At 37.0% G+C, this 14,962-nt stretch overlaps 1 annotated feature.

The window, feature by feature from the left end:
• Positions 14,481-14,681: a silencer, noted in NCBI's record as "peak2435 fragment used in MPRA reporter construct". NCBI's record gives its function as "represses an SCP1 promoter by STARR-seq MPRAs in K562 erythroleukemia cells {active_cell/tissue: K562}" and the evidence as "EXISTENCE:reporter gene assay evidence [ECO:0000049][PMID:32103011]".

A 14,962-nucleotide genomic window follows, 5' to 3' on the forward strand; every position in this document is an offset into this window, starting at 1 on the left:
GCAAATATTCTCTACAGTTTAAACCAGAAGTGAAATCGTTGAGGCAATGAATGCATTTGTAGTTTTACTGGGTGTTGCCATGTTGTTTTCCAAGGGAGCTGTACCAATTCAAGTTTCACCAGTCTCTATGATATTTCTGATTACATTACATTACATCCTCTGCAGGTCTTGAGATTGTCAGATGTGCTGATTTTGCAAATCTGATGGATGAAAAATAATACCTCCTCATGATTTTAATCATATTTTACTAATTGCCAATGAAGTGGAGCCTGTCTTCATTGTGTGTTGACCTTTAGTGAATTTTCTGTTCAATCTTTGTCCTTAAAAGCAATAGCAGCTTATTTGAAATATAACTCATATACTTTGAAGTTTATCTGTGTAAAGTGTACAATGTGATGGTTTTTGTGTATTTGCAAAGTTGTGCATTGATCACTCTGAAAAGAAACGTCATACCCATTTACCAGTCGCTCGCCCTTGTCCTTCCCTGGCAACCACAAATCTACTTTCTGTCCCTATGGATTGTCCTCTTCTGGACATTTCATATAAGTGCAGTCATACAATATAGGGCCTTTTGTGCCTGGCTTCTTTCACTTAGCATGATGTTTTCCAAGTTTCCCCCTTGTTGTAGCATGTACCAGTACTTCATTATTTTTTGTGGCTGAATAATATTTCATTGTATGGATGTACCATAATTTGTCTGTCCATTTATCAGTTAATGGACTCTGAGGGTGTTTGCCCTTTTTGGCTATTTTAATGTCACTATGAACATTCATGAGCAAGCTTTGGAACATATGCTTTTAATTGTCTTTGGTATACATCTAGGAATGAAATCGCTGGGTTATGTAACAACTAAGCTTAATCCTTTGAGGAATTGTTGGATTGTTTTCCAAAGAATCATTTTACATTCCCACCAGCCATCTCTGAAGATTCCAGATTCTCCCACATCATTGCTAACACTTGTTATTATCTGTGCATTTTGTTACAGCCTTCCCAGGGAGTGTGAAGTAGTCACATTTTGCTTTTGCTTTGTATTTTCCTGATGAATAGAGATGTTGAGTATCTTTTCAGGTGTTTATTCGCTATTGGTATATCTTCATTGGAAAAATGTCTATTCACATTCTTTGTCCATGTTTAAATTGGGTTGTCTTTTTATTATTGAGTTGTAAGAATTTTGCATTCTGGATACAGGTCCCTTATCAAATACATTATTTGCAAATATTTTATCTCATTCTGTAGGTTATCTTTTCACTTTCTGGATGGTGTCCTTCGAAGCATGAAAGTTTTCAATTTTGATGAGGTCAAATTAACCTATTTTTTTGGGACACTTTTAGTTCATGTCATTTGTGATCATTGCCTAATCCAAGCTCACAAAGATTTGCTCCTTTGTTTCTTTTAAGTGTTTATGTTTTTAACTCTTTTGTTGTTGTTGTTGTTGAGACAGGGTCTCACTTTGTCACCCAGGCTGGAATGCAGTGGCGTGATTTGGGCTCACTACAGCCTTGATCTCCTGGGCTCAAGTGGTCCTCCTGCCTTAGCCTCCCAAATATCTGAGACTACAGGTGCATGCCATCACACCTGACTACTTTTTTTGTATTTTTGTAAAGACGGGGTTTTGCCATGTTGCTCAGTCTGGTCTCAAACTTCTGAGCTCAAGTGATCTGCCTGCCTTGGCCTCCCAAAGTGCTGGGATTATAGGCATGAGCCACCACACCCAACCTGTTTTAAACTCTTACGTGTAGGTTTTTGATCAATTTTGAGTTAATTTTTTCATATGATATGAGGTAGGGGTCCAATTTCACTCTTTTACATGTGAATATCCTGTTGTTCCAGAATAGTTTGTTGAAAGGCTATTTTTTCTTCAATGAGTTGCCTTAGCACCCTTGTCAAAAATCAGTTCACCATAAATGGAAAAGTTTTTCTGCCCTGAAGTCTCAGTTCTATCTATTTGTCTATCTTTCTGCCAGTACCACACTGTCTTGATTGTTGTAGCTTTGTAATATGTTTTGAGATTGGAAAGTAGGAACTGTCAAAAAAATATTTTTTTTAAGATTGCTTTGGTTAATCTAGGCACCAATTTTTCTTTTGGGTAGATTGTCTTCAACTTATTGACCTAAAGGAGTTCTTTTATATTATAAATAATACTTCTTTGTTTGCAGTAACAAAGATTTTCTCAAGACTATCATTTGACTTTTAGTTCAGTTTATGATATTTTTCATACCAAGTTACACATTTGATAAAGCCCAATGTACTGAGTTCTCTTGTTTTGGCATTGGTATTTTGTATGTAAATAAAAAGGTTTTTGAAAATGAAACAAAGTACTTCAAGAGTTTCTTTTGATAATTTAAGTTTCTTTCTTTAGTTTTTAAATGTATCTATAGTTTATTTTGAATATTCTGCATAGTGCTGTAGCTTTTTTGCTTTTTTGTCAACTGAACAGTTTTTTTTTAACATTTACTGGATATTCTTCCATTTCTTCACTATCTCAAAATCACTCCATTGTTACATATTAAATTCCAATATATACAGTATGTCTATACCTATATAGATCTATATCATCTTTCTATCTATCTATATTTATATATTTCGTTCTGTGTTTCTATATCTCTCCAGTGATTTACTATTCTAAGGCAATACAAATACATGCTCTTAATGATTACAGCTTTGTAATATATTTTGCTGTTTGCATAGCAATCCCAGTTCCCACTATTTTTTGTTGTCCTTTATTTATATTTTTAAAATTTCTTGGCTATTTGTGTACATTATTTTTCTTTGAGATAAATATTATGATTTATTTTTCAAGTTCCAGAGACTCCTGTTGCCATTTTGTTTGGAGTTATATTAAATTTCGGAATCATTTGGTAGGGTATTGCCATTCTCAGAGTCCTCCGCATTACTGTCTAGGAGCATAGAATGTTTCCTTATTTGTTTGAGTCTTCTTTTATGGCCTTGCATTAACTTTTGTGAATTTCTTCACATAGGTTTTGCAAATTTCTCAGTGTGACCTGTTTCAAATGTACACTTGACTGCTGGTCCTTTGGAACCTGGAAATGGATTTTCTATTGACAGGATATAATAACAGATGGTGGTTAATCCCACCTATTACAGCCACGTAGAAGAGGCAGGCAAAGGAGCTGAGTGGTCAGGGCTGGGCACCAAAGTTCAATGATATGGGTCTGAGTCCCAATCCCACCTCTTCCAAGCTGTGTGACTTTCAACAGGTTACCTTCTCCTCTCTCTCTCTACTCATTTCTTTGCGTGTTAAGTGGAATGATAATAGTCCCTCCCTCAGAGGGTTGTTGTAGGCATTCATGCCAGACATATAAGAAATACTCAATAAACATCAGCTAGTATTATTAAGTTCCATGAGGACATGCTTTGAGATCCAATGTAGGGCATATGGTCCAGGCACACACTGAACTCCCCATTTGTCCTTCAGCTTTGTGATTGAGGTGAGGTTGCAAGGAATGGGTTTGGTCAGGTACATGATGCTGGGACACTTTGAGGCTTCCAGATGGAGGAGGCAAGGAGAAGGGAGAAGAAAAACAGAACAGGATTTAGCAAGAGCCATTTAAACATAAGAAGCAATCTGGATGCTGCCTTCATAGAACTCTGCAGTCTCTCTCAATCAGAGGCTGCCGCAGCATCGTCACTTGCCTCCCGGCCTTTGGTCTCCCTGCAAATTGCCCCTGTCTAAACCAAGGCCTCCCAAAAATGTAGCTCTCATCAGAGCATTGCCTTCAGTAGGCCCTGACTGGCTTCACAATGCCCATAAAACAGATCTGGGCTACTAAATGTGGTTTGAGAATCTGGTTCCTTTATTATTTTTGTAGTCTGATATCTCTTTGCTCTAGTGATCTATAATTTCTTTCTGTCCCTTCCTCCCTTTCCAAACTCTTTCTTTAAATTACTTAGGTTTATAGCAGAGATCATTTCATTCTGAAGACTTCCCCTGGCTTCTTTCCCTTCTGGATAAATGCTTGCTGTTTTGTAGCTTAAATTGTCTTCCAGACTCTGATTTTCCTAAGTAGCCCCCAAAAATGTCCTTACATCTAGTAGCTGTCCATATTGTGATTAGTGAAATATACTATGAAGGCAAATGTGTTAAGTCGATGGCACAGATACTCTTTTTACCCTAAATTTCATGGCCCTTTCCTCACCACATGGAGATTTGGTGGAGACAAATACTATGAAATGCCTATACGTTGTCTATTGACTTTCTAATCAATTTATACCTTGCTGGAGTACATAAAATACTGCATACGGTTTTCCCCTCCCCACCAGGCATACAGTTTTGGCTACTCCATAACTTAATAAAAGCTCAAATATTGACCAGAACTTCAGTGGTTAACCCTAGAATAGCCGGTAAGGTATGGATGCCAAAATGAGTTATCATAACAATCTAAGCTTTACAATTATTTGGTAAAGTAAAGTGGTCCTGACTGAATCGGGGCTGAGGGGATGGAATGCCGATCCTAGTTCTGGTACAAATGGGCCTTTGACCTTAAGTGAGTATGGAAGAGTTTCCAGGCCTTTTTCAGTTATCCACCTATGGACCAACTAGAGGCTTTTCCAATGTTCTTGAAGGTTTCATCTAACTGAAAGCACTGTCATTTTGCATCGTTCTCCTGCTGAAAAGTTATGCATTCCATTCAGAGTTACTTGTTAAGTCCTTAGTGAAAGAGGCTGAACAAAAAAGAAACAAAATATCTGACCCCTACCATTGTAGAATTTGAAATATATTACATAATTAAGTGATATATAAACCATTTACTTTAATTTCATGTTTTGGTGTCTTGAGTTTGGATAACGAGTCTGTTCAAAATCCAATTATCCATTCTATTTTCTCACCCTCCACTACATACGTGAATACATTCATTACCCACTTCCCAAAACCACTCCCCAGTGCCACAAAACACATAAAGAGAGCTTTGTGAAGAGGTGGTATTCGAAGCAAGTGGACGGGCAGACTTGAAAGGGAGGCATTAGTCCAGGTCTCAGAGCCAGGGTGGAGGAAGTGTAAAATCAGGAGTGGGAAAATCAAACACCAAGACGTTCAGTTTGGGGAGAACAGAGGGAGCCTTGAGGGTTAGGGTCTTCAGAGGGGACAGGGTGGAGAGGGAGGAGTAGACATTTTTCAACCAGGATTGAATGGTAGATTCAAAAGAAGACAGACAAAGACCAGAATTAATCTTCAAAAAGAGCAAACTGTGGTACAACTTAATAAAGATATTAACATGACTCAAACACTCCCCTTGTTTTCATCTATTAAGGAGAAAACTGGTCAAGGTCCAAATATGTACCTATAAAGTGGCCCTGAAGTTAGATGTTTGATACCCGACCAATTACATCTGTACAGTTGTCGGCTGGGCATCTGGTCTCTCATCAAAGCAATGTGACATTTAAGATACAGAGTCAAACAGATGGCTGTATTTTGCTGAACTGGACTTTAATGAAAAACTCCAGATTCTTTTGTTGCAGAGGAAAGGGATTATTGCCATAGAGGATGTTCATGATGGGGGGAAAAGATAATGCTACATCAAAGAATTGAAATGAGCAAGGAAACATTGAGATGATTTCACTTCTCATGAGAGATTAAAAAAAAAGTAACTCAGATAATGTGAAATGTTCCAAATTTATGCAAGAGAAAGCTAAAGTCAGGTTGCATTTAAAATCCCAGTTACCCTCTTTAAAATGAAAGAAACTTCAGCTAACTTTATTCAGTATTAAAAAACCCAAGAAATATGGAACGAGTATTTCTTCCACGAAAACAGGAAGGAAAAATGTAAGGTAGGATTAATGCCACATTATCAGAGAAAGGTGATTAGGAACATTTGAATTTTCTAAACAATCTCAGCTTTCCAAGCTGAACCATCCCCAAATGACAATGGCATCCTTGTTTTCTATAGGTTGTGCCCCTCTTCACGAGGAACCTGTTAAATGCCCGCAAATCTTTACGGGTTGCCGAAGAGAAATTATCACATCAGCTTATCAGAAACCATGGCCCGGGTTCGGTTATATCCCTGTCAGAAAAATAACTTCTTAGACTTGGTAATGTTTTTAATGTGATTCAAATGGTTTTGAAACTCCCGATTTCAGAGTTTCCATTTCCCAGATAATTATCTTTGTAACATTTTAAAAGGGAAAGAGTAGAAGAGGGTATGCGAATATGGTTCTTTTCCAAAGCTCACTAATTGAATGCAAATAAATTGTAAACTCATTACAATGCAGGGTGCTTTAATTAAAATGGTACATGTGACATCATAAAAACAACAAGAGAATGAACTTTACTTAGAATTTGATAACCTTTTATAAATAATAGTTCTTAATCAGAAGCAGAAGGGGGCACAGGAGCATTCAAGAGTTGTTTGTAAATGCAGACGCGTTTTCAGCACAGTAATTGTCTTTACGAGGGAAGTCACACAGAGGGAGCTTTGCTCGCTGAGGCTTAGAATTTATTGACTGCCTGCTAAAGTTATGGGCCGCAGTGTAACATTCCAGCACAGTACTACTTGAGATTCTAAGAATCAAGTGTCTCCAAAGAGGCTTTCATTAGTTCCCTCAGTACCCACTCAGTATCTCGTGACACAGTTTCAAGTCAGGGGTTTTAAGTGCATCTTCTAATAACTATAGGCAAAGGAAAAATCAGTTTGCTTTCCTTTAACTCCTAAAAATAGCACTGATTGTCAGGTAAACATCAAAGGAAGTGATGGGTGAACTTGACTTTGAAAAATACAAAAGGCTCTTAGACACAATGTGTAAAAATGATTACATGGTAGCATGGTTGCGTCTGCTTCAATGGAACATTTTTCCCATTGATATTTGGGTCTGTTTAGTTATGAAACACACACACACACAACAATTCCCAGTGCTCTTTTAGCAGGGTAAATAGAAAATCAGAAGGGTTCTTTTAAAAAAATTCTTTTATGATTACAGACAACGCTACAGTTATCAGTTTATGCATCTGCTGGATCTTTCACTGTGCACGTATTTTTAGTAAAATGAGATCGTACTATACACACAGTTCTTGCAATCTGCTTTTTCCAGCCAATGATCTACATGTATCCATTTCAGTAAATGTTCATCCACTGATATTCAGGCTGTGCTTGGCTTCCATTATTAAACCTACATATCTTTTACAAGGTACATTGCAGAGCCCACATTGAAACTGGCTGCTATGCCTGCGAATCTCTTTCAGTTCAGCACATCTCCTGTCCCGTGACCATGACTTGTTCAACAGAATGGACCAGTGTGTCTGCAGAATGTCCCACTCTTTGAAAGTGTTGGCTTGATTCTAATTCTGCTCTTTTTTAACCATCATAACACAAATCTTTTACTTGGATGTTCTTTTTTTCTTATTTTTTAGCTAGATCTTGTTTAGAGAATAAATTATAATGGTCAGAAAATAAATAAATCAAATGGTCAGAAAGCTGAGTTAAAGTTTTCACAGCACTGTTGCATCATTTACTTGGTACTCCTTTTGGTAGAATCATAAACATTCCCCATTTGAACACATATATTAAAAAGCGAGATTATTCCAACATTTCTTCCCCATCTCTTGCTTTCAGTACTGTGTAAATGAACACAAATTCTTGTTTATAGTATCCTTTAGTGAAAAAGAGAGAAAGAGAGAAAGATTGAAGATTCAATTCCTAGTGGTTTGCTTTGTTCCCAAATAATGCTGTTGATAAGAGGTCAGCACGAATATATTCAAATCTCTTGTAATAATTTGAGATCATTTTCACTGTCCTAATTTCTTGAGAAAGTTATGAGCTGCCCTCCTATGTTATACCTCTGATAATCTTTCCAAAGTTATGATGAAAATGGGTTAGTAATCCAGATGTCAATCATTTCCTCAGTCTCTCTGATTTTCACATATTATTTATTCACACAATTTCATATATTTACATAAAAATTAAAGTGATTTTTTTTTTCAGGGGAAAACCAAGATGGCTTTAAAAAATAACTGTGTACCATGTAATTCTAGTTAGACAGGAGCTTTAATTCTATTTCAAAATTTTATAATCTTTTAAAAGTAACAAAAATTCTCTATCAGTGTTATTGTCTATAATTCATTTATTCAAACTAATATGTTACTACTCTGAAATTGGATATTTAGATTCATTATAAAATAGTAACATTTAAAAATAGAAAATATTTACAGAATGCTTACAATGGTCGAGGCACTGGAATAAGTACTTTCCAAGGATTATTTTATTTAAGTCTCACAAAAATCCTTCAAGGATAGATGCTACTATTATATTCATTCTACATCTGATAGAAAAGATAGAAAAGCTAAAATGTGTTTTTTGGGGGGAAGGAATTAAAAATGCACATTTGGTAAAGAACCTACAGTTGAAATACACTTTGGTGACCTGTACTTTTCAGGTGGGTGTATTTTAAAATAGTCCTCTTTTGAGATGTTGTCTACAGTAGCTGTCTGTCATATGCCTGGATGGAAAATACCTACTTAGGTCAGTAGCATTTCATTCCCCAAACAGAAGAATCCAGGAAATCAATAAAATGTGAGTACTGTCAAACTATTAGCTTTGGTGAGTACTAGGATGGTATTGTTCTGTCCTGTCATTGAGAATATTGTGGATGAGGCAGTTTAGATGAATGGCCTTTTGAGAGGTTTCATAGTAGAAGAGCAGTCTAGGGCTGGCACAATGACTCAAGCCTGTAATCCCAGCCCTTTGGGAGGCTGAGACGGGCGGATCACGAGGTCCAGAGATCGAGACCATCCTGTCCAACATGGTGAAACCTTGTCTCTACTAAAAATACAAAAATTAGCCAGGTGTGGTGGCGTGCACCTGTAGTCCCTGCTACTTGAGAGTCTGAGGCAGGAGTATCCCTTGAACCAGGGAGGCGGAGGTTCCAGGCAGGAGTATCCCTTGAACCAGGGAGGCGGAGGTTGCAGTGAGCCGAGATGGTAACACTGCACTCCAGCCTGGGCGACAGAGTGAGCTCCGTCTCAATAAAAAAAAAAAAAAAAAAGAAGAGCAGTCCAAAGGACTTCCCAACCCATCTTTGGTATTTGCATACATTTTATTTATCTGCCTATGCTAACGTTGATGGGCTAATTCATATAATAGGGACATTTGTTTTGAAAAAGTAGACAGAAAAAAGAGCATGTAAATAACATCCCATTAAAGACTTTTCATTTGTTGTTCTGTTTTCTTTTGGAATAAAACACATAATTTTTTTCTATATAAATATCTTCCAGGAAGTTAATCGCCAGGTTTCTACAAATAAATATTCTGACTATTTTAGTTGTGTAGTTTTAGCCATCACTGTAATGATTCAAAAATTTTAAATTTTAATGCAATTAACAACTAAAATATAAGAATGGTTTAAAAAGCAAAGAGTTCAGAAAATAAATATTATATTTAATTCCTAGAATAAGAGATTCCTGGATTATACGAATTGCTATATATCATGACTCAAATAGCTGATTAGTTCTTTTCTTAGGTGACTACTAAGTATAATCTGGAAGGGAAAAAAAAGGGTGACATGTTATTTCCAGAACTTGGATTTGAAAATGCTTTACAAAGCTATCCAAAGCCAAGGACATTCATTAAAATGCAATTATCTAAAACAATATTGGAGAAGTTATTTAATCATGATAACAGTAAGAGTTAAAGTAAGTAACTAAGTAACTTTTATGCTAAGCACTTTATCTGAGTTAATTTCATCCCCACGACGATCCGTATTATTCCCTGCTTGCAGATGAGGAAACAAGCTTAGTGAGATTGAAGTCATGTCTCCTAATTCTGGGTCTCACAACTAAGATTAGATATTTTGTGGATTTGAAAGTAAGTCTGTTCTGTAAGCCCAAGCCTCTGACTCCTACGTCATAGCAACTCCCAGGCTTTTAAAAGTTCAGCTCGATTTAATATAAAATGTTTGATAAAATGTATTCAATTGTTGACAGCCATCATGGAGCTTCTACTAAGCACCACCAGGTGGAATGAAAACAGGGGCGATAGAAACCATAACTGTTATGTTCCGCCCTCTGGAGGCTTCCAGACAAGTAGAGAGATGTGAAGACTATTATTAAAACCATGCAACTGTCTGTATTAATTAGAAAGGTGAATTTCCGAGTTCAGTTCCCTTTTGCGGGGAAAGGGTGATGGTCAGAAGGGGCAAAAGTCACTGATCTTCCAAGTGAGAAGGTAACAAATGCTTCTTAGGGGCAAAAAGTGTTCAGGTCATGTGCACAGCAAAACTGACAAATGTAAATAAAGATAAGATAGTGCATAATGTTCATTTTGTATCACTCTCTCTTGAGAATCCATTGTGAGTGAATTATTGGACTTGTAATACTAGTTTATCTGTAAATTTTCTAGATTTTATTTCCTTAGCCATTAAATGAAGTATGTTTAGTTGTACATTAAAATACTGTTTCAACATGATGATGTGCAATTGTATATCTGTCAAAATTGAGAGAAAAAGGAGTTAAATGTTATAATCAACATTTAAGATATGAAGAAATTATCTTTAAACTTTGTAAGATAATGAAAAATCATGGGAAGCACTGAATATGTTCTCTATCTTAAATTATTGCTTGGATAATATAGAAATGCAGGTTCTTTCTATATTATTTTTCTCATCAGTTCTCTTTCTTTTGATAAGTATTGGCCACTATATTTTTTTCAGCATGATATTTTCGCCACAAATAAAACAAAGCTCCCTACAACTTCTATGTCTATAAAAATTCCTCATTTCCTCCAACCTAAAAATAAATCTTTTAATGGAGCCCAGAAAACTGAGTATTTGCCCACAAGCCTAAAATCTGAACATTGGGAATTATCAAGATAGGTGTCATTATGGAAAAACCGCCTGCATCAAATCAGTTTCTTACCACCCCCATAGTTTACCTTAATAGAAATTCTATGCCAGAAAATACCATGGAGCCAAAGAGAGTTGAACAATAAATCCTGACATCCAGCGTGCACTTAACATATAGAAGTTGTTCACTTAGTGGCTTTTTTTTTTTTGGCAGAATGCAAATAACTTTATTAAAATAGTATCATTCATAAAATAACACAACAGTAAATATATTATTATAAAGATGAGAAAATAGCTTTTATCAAAATTTATTTTGTTTAATATATAATATTTTCGAATGCAAGATAGCATTGGGTTTGTAAATAGGTTTTTAATTTTTTTAATTTTAATTTTAATATCAATAATTTTTGAAGTACAGGTGGTTTTTGGTTACATGAATAAGTTCTTTAGTGGTAATTTCTGAGCAGTGTACGTTGTACCTAATATGTAGTCTTATATCCATCAGCCCCCTCCCAACCTTAACCCCCAAGTCCCCAAAGTCCATTATATCATTCTTATATCTTTGCATCCTCATAGCTTAGCTCCCGCTTCTAAGTGAGAACATACGATGTTTGGTTTTCCATATTAAGTAGTTTTATATGAAAGAATGAATAATAAACATTAAAAAAACTGAAGCACACATCATCACATTTATAGTGAGTCACACATATTACTTTAAAATTGTCTTATTTTGTTATAATTTAAGTGTCAAAAGAGCCAGAGGGCTGCAAAAACAGAAAATGCTTTACTTCAACTTCAGTTTTATTCTGGTTGTTGTTCTAGGGAATAGAAGTTCGTGGATAAATATCCATAGAGCTGGACTCAAGAAACTTCCAATCAAACTGTGTTTGGTAGGACATTAAAAAGAGCTTTTAATGTTGGGATTTTTCCCTGTAGCTGGTTACATAAGATAGTAGGAATTCATAGTGTAGATTTGTGTGGCTAGAAATGCTTTCTAGACACCTTTTTAAGCCCAAGCTTGAGCAGTTATTAACCTGGGAAGTTTCACTAAGCCAGTTCACAGAGGGTTGGCATAACTTCCAAACTGGCCAGAATGCCAACTTCTACAGGTACAAGGTGGCTTTTGATTTGGATTTCCTATCTAACCAACCAACAGGGCATGCAAAAGGAACATGGAAACAGCACAGAACATGAGAGACCACCATTCCCTGCAGTCCCCTGTTCTTTCAGGGATGCGGGCTGAAGTTTGGTTGTAGTGCAGTCATGAAATAATGAGGAACCTTCCAGGTTAGAAGAACCAGGAAAGCAAGGACCCTCAGCCCCTGCCAGGACCATGTCGGTACTGAAGACTCCACTCACTACCAGACATGGAAACTCTTGGCTCTGACTTTGTTCTGTTCTGTTTTCTTTCCTTCCTCTGTCATTAGGCCTAAGTATGGCTTCTTCCCAGGCTTCTAATACCACCAGGATTCCTTGGACGACAAGAGCAAGAAAAATTGCAAAGAAGAGGATGTGCTTCTAATAAAACAAAAAATTCTCTAATAGGATGGTGGGGGAGAAACTTAAACTTTCTGTAGGTTTTTTTTTTTGTGTGTGAACATCAGACTAAAGACACTTATTTTCTCATAAGACTGTTGTAAGAGTCAGAGGACGTAATACAAGGGAACCATGAGGCACCGGTAATCAGATCACATTCCTTGGATTATTATAATTAGTCATCCACAGTAACGTGGTCCTGCTTCCCACTTCAGCTGTTGCCTGCTCTGCATTTTGATGGCTGGAAGGGAATCCCAGTGCTCCTCTAGCATAGCAAACCGGGTGGTGGACTTGGCAATACATTTTTGTGCAATAGCTGTTGCTAACTGTAGCCTAAGTTTTTATGCTATTAATTTCCTCTCCTTCATTATTGGACTCTTTTTCTCTTTCTCTTGCTTTTATTAAAAAGATGACAAAAGAATTGCACTGTTTAGGTTACAAGGCAGTTTCACATACAGTATCTCATTTCATCCTATCAACAACTCCTTGTATCATTATTCTCATTTCATAGATGAAAAACTGAAACAGTGATAAGGGGGAAATTGCCCCAGGTAATTCAGGCAATGGTGCTGGACTACTTGGTTTTCTACCACACCGCTTTTTACTGTATGTCTATCTTTTCCATTTTTTAAAGTTGGTTGGTTTTACATGAAAGCACAAATGAGTATGGGATAATTGACATAGAATAGATAAGATCTGAGTATGGGAAAAGCAGAATTGTGCACACACAGTTGGGGTCTCCAGAAATAACCTCTAGATCCTAAAGAATGAACTCAGCCTTCAAGTTCTTAAGGGTATTAACAGCCCCTCCTTTCGAATCTGTGATCTATGACTCTAGAATCCAAATTTACCAATTTGCATCCCCCAAGGATGCATCTCAACTTTTTTAATGAAGAGAGATTTCTTTGAATATCAGCCAGAGGTCTGCATGTAGGAAGAATATGTGCCCTACATAGCCTATGAAAGAGAATAAAAACCAGAACCTAAATCATTATCTCTTTCTTTCATTTACCTTCCTGTAATGGACCATACTGGGCTAGAAGACATTTCTGGAAATTCTCCTAGCTGGCTGAAATACTTGAAGGGTTAACACCTAATGACCGATCCTTTTTCCGAAGGCCAAAAACCATTTTCAAAAGTAGAGGGCCATTTATCTGTTTTTCTTTAACAATTTTAAATATGTACTATATCCAAATCTTCACCCATGTTACAAAAGCACTGAAATCAAACAACCATGGTTCATTCCTGGCCTTTGATTTTTATATCCATGCATGTTAAAAAAAGAGAGAGAGAAGGAAACCCCAACATGTGTGCTGCCTTTTAATAAAGATCATATTAAAAATTCAATAAATAGCAATATCTCTGATCTCTTAACAAAAGCTTCTGGTGTACAGGAAATTAAATGAAAAAAAAACCTTGTTAATCCTTTTTGATTTCTGTACATTGTAGCTAGAAGCATAATTCTTTAATTCACAGATTTCTCCTTTTTTTTTTCTTTTTAACATTAAAAAAATCTTTTCCTGCACAAACGTTGTCTGGGCAACACTATAAATGCAGCTTGATTCTCAGAAACATTTAAAAATAAAGGGGGGTGGGATGAGGTGCGAGCAATTGTGTCATCATTTCATCCCAGTGGCCTTGGAAGGAGGAGTCCACCTCGAACCAGGTGATAACCTGATAGACTTTATCTTGTCTTCTCTCGGCCTCCCTGAAGCCTGCCAACACTTCGGCTGGCTGTTAGGCATTTTAAATATCCCCCCTGAGCCCTAACCTCACCCCCTTTCTCTTCTTGTCAGCTGGAATGTCTCAGAGCTGTCAGAAGCTTGTTGCTTATTGATGTTTCCGTGTGTTTTATGTCTTTTCTGAGATATGACAGGCCCTGACACAGTGCTGATTTCAATCAGGCTGCTTCTGGAGAGGCCTACGATTTTTAGTTGCACTATCCACGTCTCGAGCATACTTCAGAGGCTCCTGTCTAATGAAAATGTTTCAGGAGGCCGAAATAAAGGCCCTGTGCTCAACAAACAGCAGCTGAGGAATTCGCAAGGCTTGAAAAAACACGTGTGCATGCACACGCGTGCAAGCACACACACATACATACACACACACACACCCCAGAATCACCGCACCGCCCCCCCCTTCCTGCTTTTGTTATAAGAAAAGCAAGAACAGAAAGTGACCTTGTGAGCCAAAGGTTCTGACACTGAATCAAATCCCTTTAGACCTGAACTGACAGGCTGGGCCTGGCTTTAGATTACGTTATCACATCTTAGAGCGAGGCTTGTATGTACCTCAGGATTCCCTACATGTAAAGAGCTGGCGATTTTACCCCTGCTGCCTATTAAGTCAAGTTCTGATGTCTTGTCGAGAATGAAAGCCTATCACACACAGAGGGCTGAAATAAAGGGGGAAGAAAACAACCAGAAATGGAAATAAAATGTGTAGCCGGCAGTGAACTCATTTCTGTTATTTACAAGGCTAGCCATCGGGAGATTAAAAACATTAGCAAATTAGTCTTCATAAATCCAGTGTGATTTTCTGAAATTTATACAGACATCTAATTTGATATGTCATGTTGGTCATATTCAAGCTGGGCAAATAAGGGGCTCTGGATACTAAAGGACCTTTTATTTAGCCA

The sequence above is a fragment of the Homo sapiens genome, chromosome 15 (assembly GCF_000001405.40).
Source record: "Homo sapiens chromosome 15, GRCh38.p14 Primary Assembly".
NCBI lineage: Eukaryota > Metazoa > Chordata > Mammalia > Primates > Hominidae > Homo > Homo sapiens.